The sequence below is a fragment of the Homo sapiens genome, chromosome 1 (assembly GCF_000001405.40).
Source record: "Homo sapiens chromosome 1, GRCh38.p14 Primary Assembly".
NCBI lineage: Eukaryota > Metazoa > Chordata > Mammalia > Primates > Hominidae > Homo > Homo sapiens.
Genome location: NC_000001.11, coordinates 62,596,884 through 62,615,340, shown reverse-complemented (window position 1 = coordinate 62,615,340; position 18,457 = coordinate 62,596,884). Strand labels below are relative to the sequence as shown.

Here is an 18,457-nt window from a genome sequence, read left to right as displayed (position 1 = left end):
AAGAAAGCGATTAATAATTTTCTAGTATAAGAGTATCCTCAGTGAAGTAGAGAAAATTAGATACTACATGAAAATTCAGAAGTAGAATTGTGATTACTATACTTGGTTGACTTTTTTCCTGTTGTTACTGTTTTGCCAAATAGTTTCTTTAACAAAATATGATTATAAAGTTGACCATTCCCTTTTAAAAATAATCTCCAAATTACATAAAGAAATAATAATTTTTGTGTTACTTGAAATGGTACGACTATATGTGTAGCTTATGAAAAATTGGGAGATGGGCTCTCGTAACCTGTATTTTGTAACCATGTTTCATTTTTAGGAATTACAGTAAGTTCTCACTTAAAATTGTTAATAGGTTCTTGGAAACTAAGGTTTTAAGCTAAATGACATGTGACGAAACCATTTTTTTTCCAGTCAATGTTATAACAAAACAATGCTGAACAAAATGATATTATTCAAGAACCTGCTGCACATGGTCCTTAAAGTCCTTCTCTTAAAGTCACAGTTTCCAAGAACATTATCCAGTGTCACAGTAGCTATGACATTAGGTGAGGACTTACTGTATTTAAAATTGAGGAATGATTTTTCCTTCCTTTAACATGGGTATAATAAAAGTACCTATATCTTAGAAATCTATGGGGATTAAATATGTGTAAAGTGCATGTCACAAAGTAATGCAGTACATATTAAATGCTCAATAGAAGTTGTTATTGTTTTTGGCTTTATTAGATTACATTTACTCATGCACTATACAACTTGAGAGAGATTGGTTTGAAAAGCATGAGGGTACTAGGCATCTGGGGTATAATTGGATAAGAGAATTATTTTAAAAGGGAGATTATCAGAGTCAATATTGGCCTGCTTTGTATTATTAGACCATCAATGTCCATGGGACCTTAAAACCAAATCATTAAAAGTTGTTTATTCTATTTGATGCTGTTAGAAAAACTTGGCCTTATGGACAGCTTATATGTTTAGGAACTGATAGTTTATTTTAAAAAAAAACAAAAACCTTAAGCATATCTAGAAACCTAGCATAGGTAGAAATAATTTTGGAATGACGAAAAGGGATGTATGACAACCTCAGCAGCTGACAGCTAATATACAAATATCATCAATAATTTACAGAAAGTTCCATAAATATTTGCTAACTGAATGGTTATGCTGGATCATGGTGATGATAATCTTTTAGCTCATTTGGATTCTTTTTGCCTTCTCAGGAATGTTTCAGGATAAGACATAATTTGTGATAATACATACCAGTGGTCACTATACAAATATTTGTGTACACATTTTCCCAGTGAATAATGTTAAAAAAAAGGAAGATAAAGTTGACACTAGGGCTCCTTTTAGTTTATATATGGCCATTATCTATTAACTCTGATAGCAGCCTGCACAGAACCAATGTGGTTATCCCTATTTTATAGATGACAAAGCTGAAGTTCAGGGGGTTCAAATTTATATCTGAAAAAAATAGGAATTTAAGCATTGTTCATGTGTGTTTTAAGAAAATATTTCCATATTGTATTTAGTTTTAGTGAGAAACTTGAGAGGATTGTAAAGGGTCTCATAGGGAAAAAATTAAAAACTGCATGAATATAGGGGGAATGAATGGACATCATTGAAGCATTTGACTGAGTTGAGAAATCGTAGGAAAGAGAACTGTATTCTGAAAGTGACAGATTTCCTATACACCTTTCACTTCTCATTTTTATGTTCGTTATCAGATAATTCAGAGAAAGCTGTCTAAAGAGGTCTATATTAGTTTAATTTACTTTTATTATGTACACTTTAAAAAATATTCTTTTGAAGATGTTGAGTCTTCTTAAAGACTTAAATCTGTTATTTAAGTTATACCTGAAGCTAGAGATTTTCACCTTTAAATAACAAACTCTGTCGTTCCCCGCGCCTCCCTACCTCCCACACACAGCTGGTCACATTTATTTGCATAGGGTTAACTGAAGAGGGGCCTGATCTTTTCAAATTCTCTACAGGGGTAGATGAAGATACACAAATATATGGTAGTTTCTAACAATCAGAAAATGAATGACTTGTTTCTTACTGCACCATACAAGTGGGGTTTACATCAAATTCTTGCTTTATCAAGGAAGTACTTACCCTATCACAGTATTTTAGAAAAAGTACTAGTGTAATTGTTAACATTAAGTAAACCAAATAAAGATCTTTCTCAATGGTGAAAAAAATCTTTTATTGGATATTTGAAATCATCTGAAAGTTAGGTAATAGATTGTATGCAATGTTACTTGTGTTCCAAATTTTTACTTGATCACCACTGTTGTATTTGAGTTGTAATAGATCAAGGTACATTAATTGAGCAAATGCTTATGTGTTTTACTGACATCCAGTTTTTAAGAGGTATGTCCACAGAACACATGGTATTCTTGGCAGGATTGTTAGAGTTAGCCGCATTTCCAGTAATGGCCTTAGTTGTAATCACCTGTTGAATGTTTGTATCTTTGTTTTTCTACTTAGTATTTTTGAAAGACTATATCTAGCAAACATGGTGCGTTACTAAGAATGTAAGAATGAATACAATGGTTCAGACCTGGTAACTGTCAGGGTGAGAAACAAAAGGATTTTGGTCTGTTAGGAATATGCCCATACATCTCTTAATAAATTTTAGTAAATCTATTTTCTCTGATCTAATCTGAATATAGTTTTAAACTTTTATTATGGAAAATTATAAAAGTAAAGGGAACAAATTAATACACCTACACCTAAAATTAATACACCTAAAAGTAAAGAGAACAGATTAATTTTTTTTTTAATTTTATTTTACTTTAAGTTCCGGGATACAAGTGCAGAATGTGCAGATTTGTTACATAGGTATACGTGTGCCATGGTGGTTTGCTGTACCTATCAATCTGTTATCTAGGTTTTAAGCCCCACGTGTATTAGCTATTTGTCCTAATGCTCTCCCTCCCTTGCACCCAACCCCCTGACTGTCCCCAGTCTGTGTTGTTCCCTCACTGTGCCCATATATTCTCATTAGAGAACAGATTAATTAACTTGCATTGTCATTTTTGTGTTATCTGTTACTTGTCCTGTCTTTTGTTTTGTTGGTAATATTTTTGAAGCAAAGCCTAGACATCCTATCATTTCACTTGAAAATCCTTCAGTATGTATCTCTAACAGATAAGGACTTTTTTGTGTGTTTGTGTGTGACAGAATCTTGCTCTGATGCCCTGTCTGGAATACAGTGGCATGATCTTGGTTCACTGCAACCTCTGCCTCCCGGGTTCAAGCAATTTTCCTGCCTCAGCCTCCCAAGTAGGTGGGACTACAGGTGCAAGCCACCACACCCAGCTAATTTTTTTTTTTTTTTTGTATTTTTACTAGAGATGGGATTTCACTGTGTTGGCCAGGCATGTCTCGAACTCCTGACCTCAGGTGATCCGCCCACCTCAGCCTACCAAAGTGCTGGGATTACAGGCATGAACCACCATGCCTGGCCAGATAAGGACTTTTAAAAGTTAACCTCAATAACAAATGAAATGTTTTATGATCTCTTTAGAATTTTACTATCATCAGTTTTTTTTTCTTGAGTAGTTGAATAAGCTTATTATATACTGATTAAATTTTTTTTCCTAAAATATTGTTTCAAGGAAGAGCTTGGCCAGTCAGAATATGTGTGCTGTTGATGTTATGACATGAGAGCCATGTAATTCATGTTTCTTAAACTAGGTTATTACATGACAGTAGGTCCTTTGAACATGGGCTGCTAATTTTTTTGTGTACCATGGTACCTTGTGGTCGTCTTGTGAATCCTGTGATACCCTTTTTTGAAATATATATTGAGCATCCCAAATCTGAAAATCCAAAATCTTAAATGCTCCAAAATCCAAAACATTTCAAGCACCCATATGATACTCAAAGAAGATCTCGTTGAAGCATTTTGGATTTTCAGATTTGAGGTCGCTCAACCGTGAGTATAAAGATATTCCAAAATCCAAAACAAATATGAAATTTGAAAGACTTCTGGTCTTAAGCATTTTGAATAAGGGATACTCAATCTGTAATGTTTAAATGTTTTTAAATGCATGAAATAAAATATATAGAATAACAAAGGAAATCAGTTACATTGAATTAAAATTATCAAAATATTAAAGTTGTGATATATGTGTTTATTGATGAATGAAATAACATGATCTGGCCTCAGGTTAAAAAACTATTGTATTTTCTAAATAGTAATAAGCATCAACAATATTTTGAGATGTCTATAATAGTTGTGATATAAAAATATGTATGTTTCAAATTAGTTCAACCATTGTGGAAGACAGTGTGGCGATTCCTCAAGGAACTAGAACTAGAAATACCATTTGACCCAGTAATCCCATTATTGGGTATATATTCAAAGGATTATAAATCATTCTACTATAAAGACACATGCACACATGTTTATTGCAGCACTATTCACAATAACAAAGACTTGGAACCAACCCAAATGCCCATCAATGATAGACTGGATGAAGAAAATGTGGCACATATACACCATGGAATACTATGCAGCCATAAAAAAGGATGAGTTCATGTCCTTTGTAGGGACATGGATGAAGCTGGAAACCATCATTCTCAGCAAACTAACACAGGAACAGAAAACCAAACACCACATGTTCTCACTCATAAGTGGGAGCTAAACAATGAGAACACATGGACACAGGGAAAGGAACATCACACACTGGGACCTGTCGGGGTGGGGCTAGGGGAGGGATAGCATTAGGAGAAATACCTAATGTAGATGACGGGTTGATGGGTGCAGCAAACCACCATACCACGTGTATACCTATGTAACAAAACTGCACGTTCTGCGCATGTATCCCAGAACTTAAAGTATAATAATAATAATAATAATAGTAAATGTATGTTTCTATTAATGACAAAATCTTATATACTGGTAATACTGCTGTGGTTGGTTTACTACATTCATAATTTAAGGAAGTATAAATTTCAGCTGAACGTTACTGAAAATTCAGGAGCATTTTTTTTTCTATTCAAGTGTATGGTTCTCTGCTTCAGAAAGTATTGGTTTTTGTTTTTATTTTTAGAGTTCATAGATGTCTCAAGCTACTGCCACATACTCTGCTATTTTGGTTTTGTCCTTGTTATACCACTCTGAGTTTTATTCTATCGAATTGGTCCTAGTTTATTTTAACTATAAAAACTGAGTCGGCTGGGCGCGGGGGCTCACGCCTGTAATCTTAGCACTTTGGGAGGCCGAGGAAGGCGGATCACGAGGTCAGGAGTTCGGGACCAGCCTGACCAACATGATGAAACTCCGTCTCTACTAAAAATACAAAAATTAGCCAGGCATGGTGGCACATACCTGTAATCCTAGCTACTCAGGAGTCTGAGGCAGGAGAATCACTTGAACCCAGGAGGCGGAGGTTGCAGAGAGCTGAGATCACTCAGCTCACTGTGCAGTGCCACTGCACTCCAGCCTGGGTGACAGAGCGAGACTCCATCTCGAAAAAAAAAAGAATTCTGAGTCAAGAGCTCTATTTCCTAACATTTTAACATAGCCACCCAGAAGTTTTTAGTTAGGGGCTTGCATCTGAAGGTGATGGAGTGTTATCTTAGATTGTGAAGGGAAGGAGTAAAGTTCCAGAAACAGATGCAAACTCTGAGAAGGGCAGTTTTGTTCTTCTGTCCTGAGAATTATAATATGTTCAGTTAGGAAGCGTTTGTAGAGATTATTTACTTAAAGGAATGTGAAAAATGACACGGAAGAACCTGTTTTTAAAAAGTATATACATTTGTTTAGAACTTTATAGTTCATAAAGCTATTCAAATACATTATCTGGCTTGATGATTACAATCCCATGAAGTATTAATAGATTTGACAGGATTATTATTCCCATCTATTGGGTGTGGAAACTGAGGTTTGACTGTGTATTTTAAGATAAATAGCTACAACCTTACATCTTCAAGGTAGTAATTTATTGCTCTTTCAAATTATATACCCAGTCATTTTATTAGATGTATGACTGTTCTTAGGACTAAACATGAATTTAGGAAAAACAGCCTTTGTATTTTAGATAGAATTCTTAAGTTTATTTTATATTTCCTAAAATGTCATTAAAACCTCATTTTATTAAGGGTTATAATAGAGGATTGTTAGTGCTACTTTCATGACCTTGAACTGTGCACCAGTTAAGTAATTTTACCCTAGTTGATTTGCCATGATAATACTTTGGACTTTGATAAAAGGGCCAATTGTTGGGTCACTTTCTTTTCATTTTTAAAACTGCTGTGTTTGATAATCACTCAGTAGTACATACATAAGTGCAGAGTTTATGGCTGTTAGTGATGGGGAAAAAAATCACAAGGAAATTTGATTATCCTACAGCAGAAGGTAGAGTATATATGAGTACAAATTTGGAATATGTTTTTTAAAGGAGACAAATAGTAGATGCTCAATAAGTGTTGTTTAATGAATACCATTTCTAAAATTAATGAATGAGTTAGTTGACTTCCATGAGTTATGCTATTAGGAAGTAAAGATACAAGCATGAAAATATGCTGATTCCAGGATGACAGAGTGTATGGAAATAGATTATACTACACTAGATTACCTCATAATGAGACATGTGTGTACTTGGTTTCAGTAAAATTCATACTGGTTCAAAATAAACTCTTGATATAGAAATTTTTCAGTAATTCACTAAAATCAGGTAAACTGACTATCTTTGATGCTTTTGGAGCTTTTAGTACTATTTTTCAGAATTTTTATTATTATGATTTGCCATATTCTGTGTATTTTCTCACTAAGTGCCATTTGAGGTGTATGGACAGTAATTCTGTGTGGTTTCAGATGAACAAGCTGCCATTTACTAGAATATTTGTGGAAGAATTGAGATATCTGCACCTTAAAATACGGCACAATCTAGCCAATCAGAAATGTGTGGGGAGACATTCTAGACAAATGGAATACATTAGGAAGGCATAGAGGAGATGTTTAAAAGTAGATCGTTTTGATGAGAGCAGAAGGTTTGTGTTGTGGGAAAAAATGGCTGAAGAGGTAATTTGGGGCCAGGTGATAGAGACTTTTGAAAACCTGGAAGGATTTTGGATTTTGTTCCAAAGGCCTATACTCTTCTAATTGGAGTATACATTCTTGTGAGGGCACAACTATATGGGACGTGCAAGTTCACAGGATAAACATGACACATCTTCTAGGAACATCACTTTTTAAATACTTGGGGGGAAATAAATATTTTTATATGAAGATTTTTTTTGAGACAGAGTCTCACTCTGTTGCCCAGGCTAGAATGCAGTGTTAGGATCATGGTTCGCTGCAGGCTTGACTTCCCAGGCTCCAGCGATTCTCCTGCCTCAGCCTCCCAAGTAGTTGGGATTACAGGCACCTGCCACCACACCCAGCTAATTTTTGTATTTTTTGTAGAGGTGGAGTTTTGCCGTGTTGCACAGGCTGATCTTGGACTCCTGGGTTCAAGCAGTACTCCCGCCCCGGCCTCCCAAAATACTTGGATTACAGGTGTGAGCCACTGCAGGCATGAAGATAGATTTATAAAGTATAAAACACAATTCATATGCAATTTTAAAGTAAAATTCTAAGATTTAAGCTAAGATCCCAATAAGATTCTGAAAGAAATTTGTGCATATAGTAAGTTATTTTATCCTGTAACTCCAGACAATAAAAGGATTTGTTTTCATTATCCTCTGCTGTTACACTTCTTCAGTAGATGAGCTTGAAAGACACAGGTCCAGGCAGTATGCAGCCATTACAAATTCCTTTTCGGAAGATTGACAGGGAGAGGGACGTAAAATTAGGAGGAAAGAAGAGACTACTTATATAATCTAGCACTGAAGTTAAAGACAGTCTTTGGGGAAGAAAGCTTATAAGATTAAGAGACGTTTCAAGAGAAGATTGTATTGAACTTGGTGGCTTATGATACAAAAGAGGTAGTTTACAAAGTTGAGTGAAAAGCCAGAGATGTCTTCCGGGTTCCAGGCTTCTGTGACTGGGAACATGCTGGTCATATTAATGGATATAAAGAAGTGAGGAAGATGGTGTGAAAGAGTATAAAGGAGGGAAAGGTGGGTAGAAAGGGATAGCAGTAGCAGTAAGGGGCTGGGGAATTTGTTATTTATTTTTTTTTGAGTCAGTCTTGTTCTGTCACCCAGTGCATTGGTGTGATCTCAGCTCACTGCAACCTCCGCCTCCTGGGTTCAAGCGATTCTCCTGTCTCAGCCTCTTGAGTAGCTGGGACTGTAGGCACATGCCACCACGCCTGGCTAATTTTTGTATTTTAGGTAGAGACGGGGTTTCACCATATTGGTCAGGCTGGTCAGACTCCTGACCTCAGGTGATCCACCTGCCTCAGCCTCCCAAAGTCCTGGGATTACAGGTGTGAGCCACCGTGCCTGGCCTTTTATTTTTGGTATGTTGAATTTGAGTGAAGTATAGGGTATTGAAGGGAGAAATGGCAAATAGGCAATGTAAGAAGGGGAACTGGAAAGAGACTTGGGATGAATATGTAGATTTTGGAACTTTATTCATGGTAAATAAAGGAGTCCGTGAGAGCAGATAGAATGTCTGAGGGTCAGTGTAGAAAAGATGATTGAAGGTTGTCCATTGGCCCACAGTACTAAATATGAGAAAGGAATAGGGTTATAAAGATGGATTCAGATAAGGGATAATCCATGGAGAGTATAGTATTGTGAAAGCAAAATGAAGGTCAAGTTTGAAAAAAAGATATTCTTATTATTAAGTAGTAGAGAGATAAAAGGGAAGGTAGTCTGAGAGATCAAAGGGGATTAGACTTAGATTAGACAACTGTGAGTAGTGATGGAATTTGAGCACTTTAAGCAAAGTAGTTAGGACAGGAGACAGTCGTGTGAACCATAAAGAGCTCCTTTCTCTTCTTCTACCAGAAGTATCTTTCTGGTAGAAAAAAGCTTTATATGGGGAAAACGTCTAATTTACTACTCCTGAAAGGAACAAAATGAAACATGTCCTATGAGAGTTTTTTTTTTTTTTAAGGAAACCAAATAGAGGAAGCAACTCATATATTAAATAATGAATTATTTTGCATTTGAAATTGTCCAATTTTGGGGGAAGAGAGGAGCCATTTTGGTATTCTGGCCCTAAAAAAATCAGCGTTAATTTCGACAGCTTAGTCTGTGGTCCTGAAAATTATAGATTATTTTTACCTTTATTATTTTGTACTTTTCTGGAACAAAATATTTACTTAGGATTCACATAGATCATACATATCTTTTATATATGTGACATATAAAAATATATATGACATGTATATTGGATAATTTGAAATACATAATGCTAAGTATTGACAAAGGTAGGTCACCATATAACTTGGGCACTATATCCTTTAACAAATGGGTTTAATTTAAAATTTCTTACTGGCAGTTTTAAAAAATCATATTTAAAAATAAATTCTGACAAGTGATACTGTGGTAAAAAATTTGTATCTAATCTTTAGGGATTTAGGGATTTAGGGATCTGTTGTGATGTCGATAAACATGCAAGAATAATTTAAATTTCTATAATTTAGGGACTGGGTCTTTGTTTATTGAATTTTAAACATATATACATGCTTGTCAGGCTGTTTAAACGTTCAGTAACTTGTTACGAGGTTTATTTCTACTTGAAAACCTACACGAATGTATTAGAATCACAGCATATTTAGGGGAAATATAAACTTTAACTCGATGCCACAAATATGTTCATTCTTACTGTAATCTGACAAGATTCCTTTACAATTATTTGTTTTCATAGTATTAAGTGTTAAAATATATAAAATGTATACAGTATATATTTTAACAAATAAGGTATAGTGATACCTCATGTTAAAGTCAATGTGACTTAGTAGTCATCTCCATTTGTTTAAAGACAGCGAACTTATTTTAATACAGTATTTAATTCTGCTTCATTAGGTTTCATAAATAAATCATATCAAACATTTACTCCAAATTATTTTGTAGCAAAATGAAGCATCAGTTTAAAAATTTGTATTACAGATTTTTACACATACTCTGTGCTGACGATTTTTAGTTTTGAAATTAATACTACAACATTTAAGAACTGTACAATTACCAGTCCTCTGTATTTAGTCAAGTTTAGAGTTTTAACAAGAGTACTAGTTTTTTAAACTGGGAAAGTTGTGATATTAGCTCATATGATGCCTTTTAAAATAAAAGTCTCTAAATTTTTTATTTAGAAAAGTTATTTAATAAGTTCACCTATTGATTATAATCTAGATTGTGACCATCTAAAATTGATTCCCACATCACAAAATTTAAAACAAATAGTATTATAAGAATTTTGATTGAGAAATGTAAACGGTATTCTTTAAGGTTATGTGATTGTATGTTTAATCTTAAATAGACAGTGACTTTAAGATAAAAAAAATCTATTTCTCAAGCTTTCTCTTAAGGATTTAATACCAGATTATTAGACCACATTAACTTGGAATGAGGTTAATGTTTAAATTATTGCCTTTTAAATTTGCCTCAGTTCATTCAAAGCTTTCTGAATCTGTTGGATGGATCAACATTTTGGTTGATTTTATAGAGTATAACCTTCCATTTTGAGACTTCCAAGATAATCCTCTTCTCCTCTCTGGCTTAGATTTTGCTCTTGGTTTGTTATATTTACCATTTAGGTTGTTTTCTCCACACTCATCATGCCACCACCAGCCTCCTAAAGGAGATAGATATGCAATTTAATGGGTACAGACTCGTATGTAGTTACTGTTACTGTATTTCCCCGTAAGTTTATCTTCCTTTCTTATAAATATTACAGTGTTTTAGATGCATGTATCCCAGTTTTAAATAATCTGTATAAGTCCCAATTTTAAATAATCTGTATAAATAATCTATACACTACCAAAAAATAGAAAATCTGAGGAAGATTAGAGGTAAAATACCTGATTGAACTAGAATGAACACTTTCATTATAGTTAAGAGGTTTTCGTCTAGAGAGAAAACGCTTATTTGGGATTCGGATTTTTAAAAGTTGTCATTGCAGATAATAGCTAATAATGTGGGAAGATACTTTGAAGATATGAAAATAAAGTATTGGTATCAGAAAAAGATACCTGAATAACCCTCTGGACAGTTGAAGTGTCCTTTTGCTTTGTGATCCCAAGTAGAAAACACCAAATCTTTGTTTTCCGGGATTGCATTGGGGACATTGCCAGTAATCGCAACTAGATGTAGCGTATAGTTGGTTTCGTGATTTCCCAAGTAAAAAGAATATTCAATATAATGTTTGTTGTCTTTCCAGTCTTCCAACTCAATTCGTAAAACATAATTAGATTGCTTCACTATGGAGTATATCTTCTCTAGGCCCAACCAAAATTCTCCTGAAAAGAAAAGTTTTAAAAATCTGTGAGTTATTAAGTACAGGTTGGACACTGACAGTTTTTTTAAGTGTTTTTTATTGGTGCAACTAATTGAGTTGTTTAGTCTTGAATCCCTTGATCATTTTAGTGTATCTTAAAATAATACCTTTTAAAACAATTTTATTGAAGATAGCTATGTGCACAAAAATGTTAAAAATATTAATATAACTGAAAGTCTGATTATCCTTTCTATAATGCATATGACAAGACATGTTTCACCAGTGAAATGTGTTACATTATTATAGATATTTTAAAGTCTCGTCATTGGTAGAGGAATATTTGCAAGTCTTTATATGGATAAACTTTACTGTCAGCTATTTATTAACATCCATATACAGTCAAGAGATGTGTTAAGTATTCCTAGAGACTTGAGTAATAATAATGTCACTTTCTTCAAATGTAAACCTGGCCTTTGGTATTTGCTTAATGTATGCTTTCTTTGTAGAAAAAGACAGGAATAAATTTAAAAAATCATTTTAAATTTAAAAGCATGGTTCTTAATAACTTTTTTCTGTAATTTTAAAAATTATTTTTATTGGAATTAAAAACAAATAACAAATATAAATAGATTGTTCTTCATCACAATCCTTTTTATTAAAGTATTTATAAAATACTGTTTTCATTAAACATTCACTATTGTCTTATTGCTATTGAGTTAGTAGGAAGCTTCATTTTAAGGATTGCTGGTAAATACAAGTACAAATGGGTTGCTTTCTTACCAGAATTAAGTGAGTATTCTCGACTTACCTGTCAGCCTTTTATTTTGGGGTTACACTCACTATTAGAAGATTTGGAGCTACAAAACTTATCACTGAGTATACCTTCTAGGTAGGGCTTTCACTGGTAGTTTGAATACAAAATTTTTAAATGGTCAAATAGTACTGAGCATTTAAAAATTTGATATAATAATGAATGTCTTCTACTTTATAAGTGAGTACTTAGACATCATTCATGGATTTTTGTATGTGCTTTTTGGATTTTAAACATCTGTTATTTTATCTTGCTTATTTTACTATTTGTAATCAAAATAGAATAATTTGCATTGAGTTAACTAATTCATTATAAGCCATACATTCTATATATTATATTTAAATAATTGAAATTTTAAAATGTATACTGTATGTCTGAGTTTCCTGGTCCTTTTAACTTCCAATTAATTGATATGTAAAACGTTAATGAGAGAATAGAGTGACTAATGCTAGGAGTGGTTCTTTTCACAGCTTATTTGTAACAGTTACTACTTATGACATAACATTTAATCAAAATTGTCTTTAATAATTATAGTTATGATCATTGTAAGCCGTGGAATTAAATTGTGATAAGTATATTTAAGAACAGACATGTAATTGTGATAAATATAATTCAAATAATAACAGTTGTAATAAGTGTAATTTACTAACAAATGTGTAATTGTTTGATAATAAATTATATGAAGGCTGAGACTGCTTCTCGTTCGTTACTACTTTTCCTAATACCTGGTCCATAAGAGGTTCTCAGTAAATATTTGTAGATTAGCAAGTGAATGAATGATTGAATGTAGTCCCCTTACCATCAAGCCTCCCAAAACCATATTTGTAGTTCTCCCACGTTTCATTGAAGTTTTGTGATCCATCTATTCGATGTTGAATTAATGTCCATGGACTACCTGAATATAATGAATGAAATCATGTATTTTTAGTAGATTTATGTTGACAGATGTAAATAACACTTTTTTGTTTGTTTGATTTTAATTGGTGGTTTTGTAAGGTAGTTTATTAATGTTATGGCAATACATTTTATTATTTATTATGGTCCCAAAAGTTAAGTGAAAGGCAATTAATGAATTTTGGCATAGTAAACTTATTGATAATAGTCACTTCAGATTATTTTAGAGGAAAAGGAGAATATTGAGTAAATACATAAACAAGGTAAAAGTATTATATTTATACGAATACTCATATATATTTCATATATATATGTATAAAACAATGATAACCAGGTTAATCTTCCTAATACGTAATGAGTAAGTTGAACTAACTACTGTCTATTCTCCTTAGACAGGTTTTACCTGATATAACATCACAGTAGACATGAAAAACTTGAGAGTTGCTGGGTCTGATGGCATACATGCCACTTGTATGTTCACCTCTGTTATAAATGGTGGTACATTCAGCAGGAATGCCTAGAATCAATAAAATGTTATTACATCAGATTTAGTAATAGGAATAATATCTTTGGAGCTTGAGATTTCACTTGACATTTTATGAAGTTGTGGCAAATGTAGCATTTTTTCAGTAATGTTTATGTTAAAGCATTTTTCTTAGATGGCGTGTTATTTAAGAATGTAAGAATCATCTTACCAAACTATTTTCTTTTAAAAAATTAATTATTTTTTAGAGACAGAGTCTTGTTCTATCACCAGTCTGGAGTCCAGTGACCTTTAACTCCGTAAATATTTCAGCATGTATCTCTTAAACAGGAGATTGTTCTCCTTTAAAACTGCAATACCATGATCACATCTAAGAAAATTAATAAACCTTCTATATTATCTAATAATCAAGTCCATATTTGTATTTCTCTGATTGTCTTAGGTATGTCTTTTATAGGGTGTAAAAAGAACCCCAGCATCCAGTTTAGGTTGATACATTGTATTTGATGGATATCTCTTAACTATCTTTTAGTCTAGAACAAGTCCTAAGAATAGGGAATTTGATAATAATAGCTTCAAGAAGGAAACCCACCAAAGTGTCTTACCATCATGTTTTACATTTCTTATTTCATTCAACTGAAGAAAGGGAGTAGTTCTTGGTGCTCTTGGCTTGGAAGATAGAGAAATTTCTGTGGGTTCTTGAATACTAGTCCTTCTGAGCTGATAAAAGAATATAAATCTGTTTTTTAAAATGATACTGAATATACAATTAGGGGAAATCTGAGTAAGGATGTCAGAAGTACAGTTTGTCTTTCAGTTCATAATGTTATAACGGTGTTTGATATTTAGATAAACAGTGTTATTCAGATTGTACAGATTACCTGTTCTCAAAATATTTAATCAGGGACATTATTTAATAAGATAAAAAAATAAAGCAAGGCAAAAAAGCAGACATTGGTCGGAAAACAGAGCAAGGCCAAAAGTAGAGACTGCTTTGCTTAGAATATTGTAATGTATTCTTTTATTTATATGAATAAAATATATTTGATATTCTGTTCAGATTTTAAGTTTAATAATTTTCAGTTTTAGGTCTTACTGATCTTCAGACCTGTGATAAAGACATAATACATAATTTGAACCAGGCTTTCTTGATAATTTGATAATTTTTGACCTGTAAACATATCTGTAGATGTTGGCAGGTTGGCAAGTTTGTTTGCTTACTTTCTATATATTCAGTAGTTTATCGTTAGTTTAGCAGTAACATTTTATTTTTATTTAAGTGTGTTGGGTTTGCAATTTATTGAATGATAGTTTTTCTCATTGACAGTAAGAAAAGCAGAATATATAATATCTTGCATTATTAGTGTTAGTTTTTTGATGCTGGCATGAATGATATTTCCTAGGACCTTATTTAAAAGGATCTATTGTAAAGTTTGCTTGCTGGGTATTACTCTTTTCTACTAAGTAACTATGTGATCTTAAAGTTACTTAAATTTTTAGAGTTTTGTTTTTTTAATTTAAATATGAGAAAGTTAAATGATCTAACTCTTCTTCCAACTCAGAAATTCATTGTTTTGGTTTCTTCACACATTTTTATTTTTAGACACAATGTATATTACTATAGTAACATTTTGCTTTGGGGAGCAGGTTCATTTAATCATAGTAAAAGATATAATTGAAAAGAATTTAGAATAATAACATCATAAGAAGGAAAGTATGGAAACCAAAAGTAGTTGATAAAAAACCTTTTAGCAGCACTACTAACATTATGTTTGTTTAGTGGAAATTGGTAATAATATTTGTTTTATATCTCTTGAAAATGATTTTGTTTACCAGTTTCTCTGAGTTTATATTATGTTTTTTGAATCCTCTTGAATAGCTGTTTGAGAGTATTATTAATATTTTTAAACTATTGTACTGCATATTAGAATACATGGATTCTGACATAGCTTTTTTCTAAACAAGTGCTTCCCTCTGTCACTTCACCAGATGTTTACATTGTAGATTAATTACATTGTTGAATGTTGACCTTTAATTATGAGGCACACTATTTCTAGTAATCCAAGTAATAATAATCATAGCACACGCTTCTGTGTGAATATGACATTACATTTATTAATTCAACAGAAATGCCTACTGTGTGCCATACAGTATTCTATATTCTGGAGTATATACAAATAATGGAAAATATGAAGATAATGGAAAAAATCCCTGTATTCACAGAGCTTACATTTTAGTGCAGGAATAGAAGAGATAAATAACTAAAATTTATGTTATGTTAAATAAAGGTGAGTGTGCAGGAGAAAAGTAGCTAAGGAAGTAGAAGTTTTCAGGGATGGGACCAGGCGGTTGTGATTTTTGGTTAAGTGACCTTGTAAGTCTTCATTGGGAATTTTTTGTTTGATAACGACCCTAAGGGAAATCAGAGAGTGGGCCACGTAGATACCAGGGCAGAAGAGCGTTCCAGTTAGAGGAAACAACAAGGGCAAAGGCTTTGAGGTGGCAGTATGTTTGATGTGTTTGAATACTGGTAAAGCGGTCAGAATAACTAGAGTAGAGGAGGTGAAGTCAGTGAGATGACGAAGGGTTGGGTAATCTTGGTCTAAAGAGCCAATATGAGTGAAATGGAAAGCTATTGTGTGGTTTTGAGCAAAGAGAAACATGATCTAATTTGAATTTTAGTAAGATGACATTGGCTGCTATGAATTAATTTTTTTTCTTACAATAATCCTATAAGTTCTGTTATTATCTTTGTAGTATATGTGAGGAAACTGAGAGATAAAGGGGTGAAGTAATTTATTCAAGGTCACACAAAGTTTTAGAGCCATGGTTTAAATGCAGGTAGTTTATTAGCTTCAGAGCCTGCAATTTTAACAGTTATGCTGATGTGATAATTTTACTCATGATCCAGTTAAAGCTTGTAAATAATTTTAGGATTCAGTGTTTTTACAGACCTGTGTGAAAGATGGGACATACCATTAAAATACTGACTTACCTGATTTTCTATTTCTTTTATTTGACTATGCTGTTGGTTTAATTGTTTATATTGGTCTTCCACGGTCTGGAGAAGGTCTTTGATGCTATTATCTTGTTTTTCTACAAAAGTCTGGATATAGAGAGTAGGTTGGTTATAAGTTGCTTTCCTCTTTCTTTTCTATTAATTTCCTGTAACACTATCATAATCTAAATTTTTAAACTAATAATGGATTTGAAAAATGAATATTGGCAATTCCTTCCCCTTGTATGCTTCTTTCAAATAGCACATATTTTTGTCCTTAACATTTTATTTAAATTGTACTATCTCTAAAATTTGATTTTCTGAACTTCAATTAAAAGAAAAAGCCCAGCATATTTTCATATGAATAAATCTTTTCCATTTACTGTATTATTTAATCTGTTTTAAACACTGGAGAATAGTTTTAAATTTTTTTTAACTTTTTACTTACCTTCAGTAATTTACAATAGTGTAATGACATAGTGTTCTAGATTGTATAATTTAACCGATTTGTAATTTTCATATAAAATGCAAATTTTCAGTGTTTTCATATATAACATTAGGGAAACAAAAAACTAACTTGAAATTATAATAGGAAATTTTATTTTCTGGAGATTATTTTTCTTGGAAAAAAAAGTATTTCAACAATGCAACAAAGTATTTCAAATGGCATGCCTTAGAAATATTTTTTTTAAAAGATCCACATTGAAAACATAAACATGAACCCTCTTTATTTTCTACTTACTTTAAGTGAAGTTACTTCTGGGTGTTCTGGAGTTTCAGGTTGATTTTGAATTAAGTTAGTTAGTTGCTCTTCTAAATATTTCACTTTTTGTTGAAGTAGAATTTTTTCTTCTAGGAGGCTTTCAAGTTTTGAGTTGAGTTCAAGTGACATATTCTTTACCTCTTCATTTTTGACTTGTAGTTTATATGTAGTTCTTCTCAGTTCCTTTTCTTCTTCTTTGATTTCACTGGTTTGCAGCGATAGATCATAAAAAGACTGATCAAATATGTTGAGTTTTTGAAATATGTCATTAATTTGGCCCTTCGTCTTATGGACAAAGTCTTTAAGACCATGTCCCAACTGAAGGAGGCCATTGGCTAAAATTTTTACATCGTCTAACATAGCAAATCTTGATTTTGGCTCTGGAGATAGAGAATCAAATGATGAATTGTCTTGATCAATTCTGGAGGAAATAACTAGAGGAACAATAAAAAGAAGGAGCTTAATTGTGAACATTTTTATCTTGATTTTCAATTTCAAGCAACGTGGAACTGTTTTCTTCTGGAAGCAGACCTAGACTTCTTAACTCTATATATACCAATATTTGCCCAGAAAAGGTAAGGTTGGTAGGTGAACATAGTTAATCATTAAGCCGTGTTAACTTGCACGAATGTAACCTTCTTCCACATTGAGTTAGATCAATGCTAAATGAAATCAAAGAAATGAGCAACTAACTTAATAGGTAATTTGAAATTGTATTTAACTTTGCTGTATTATAAACTACACATTCAATGCTATGGTGACTACCTGTTTTTAAAAGCTAATTTTACTTTTTTATGATTTTAAGAGATTTACAAGTCAAAAATAAACTTTTTTGTTGGGTAAATTTATTATTAAAGTTGAGGGGAAAAAAGTAATGAATTAAGTATGCATTTCTCAAACTGTACTTTAGTTCTTTTGGAAACAGTGATCCATTCCAAAAAACACTTTCTCTCTGAAGCCTTTCTCCACTCCCTCAGGTGGTGTTACGGCTCTCAATGCTGTGTTCCTCTGGTACTCTGTATAAATCAATGTATAATTATATGCTCCTCATTTTTTGTCACTATAATTGTTAATATGTTTTTTTGCATCACCTTATATGTCTTAACCATCCTTGTATATTGTCACAAAATCCCATATATAGTAAGTGTCATTAAAGA

At 32.6% G+C, this 18,457-nt stretch overlaps 2 protein-coding genes across 16 annotated transcripts in view; one reads left to right on the top strand and one right to left on the bottom strand.

The window, feature by feature from the left end:
- Positions 1-18,457, top strand: part of DOCK7 (dedicator of cytokinesis 7) — a 233,661-nt gene that overhangs the window by 73,046 nt on the left and 142,158 nt on the right. The window lies entirely within an intron of this gene.
- On the bottom strand, positions 9,028-17,821 carry ANGPTL3 (angiopoietin like 3). The gene is made up of 7 exons (NM_014495.4): positions 17,280-17,821; positions 16,535-16,645; positions 14,145-14,259; positions 13,459-13,572; positions 12,961-13,056; positions 11,106-11,372; positions 9,028-10,708 (listed from the first exon to the last, which is right to left on the bottom strand). The coding sequence occupies exons 1-7, from the start codon at positions 17,772-17,774 to the stop codon at positions 10,524-10,526; spliced, it is 1,383 nt and encodes a 460-aa protein (NP_055310.1). The 5' UTR covers positions 17,775-17,821; the 3' UTR covers positions 9,028-10,523.

Coding starts and splice junctions, on each gene's coding strand:
- ANGPTL3 (NM_014495.4), bottom strand. CDS start 17,774: ATGTTCACAATTAAGCTCCTTCTTTTTATTGTTCCTCTAGTTATTTCC. Junction 11,373..12,960: donor TGGTTTTGGGAGGCTTGATG/GTAAGGGGACTA, acceptor TTTTCTTTTCAG/GAGAATTTTGGTTGGGCCTA. Junction 10,709..11,105: donor CTGTCCAGAGGGTTATTCAG/GTATCTTTTTCT, acceptor TATCTCCTTTAG/GAGGCTGGTGGTGGCATGAT.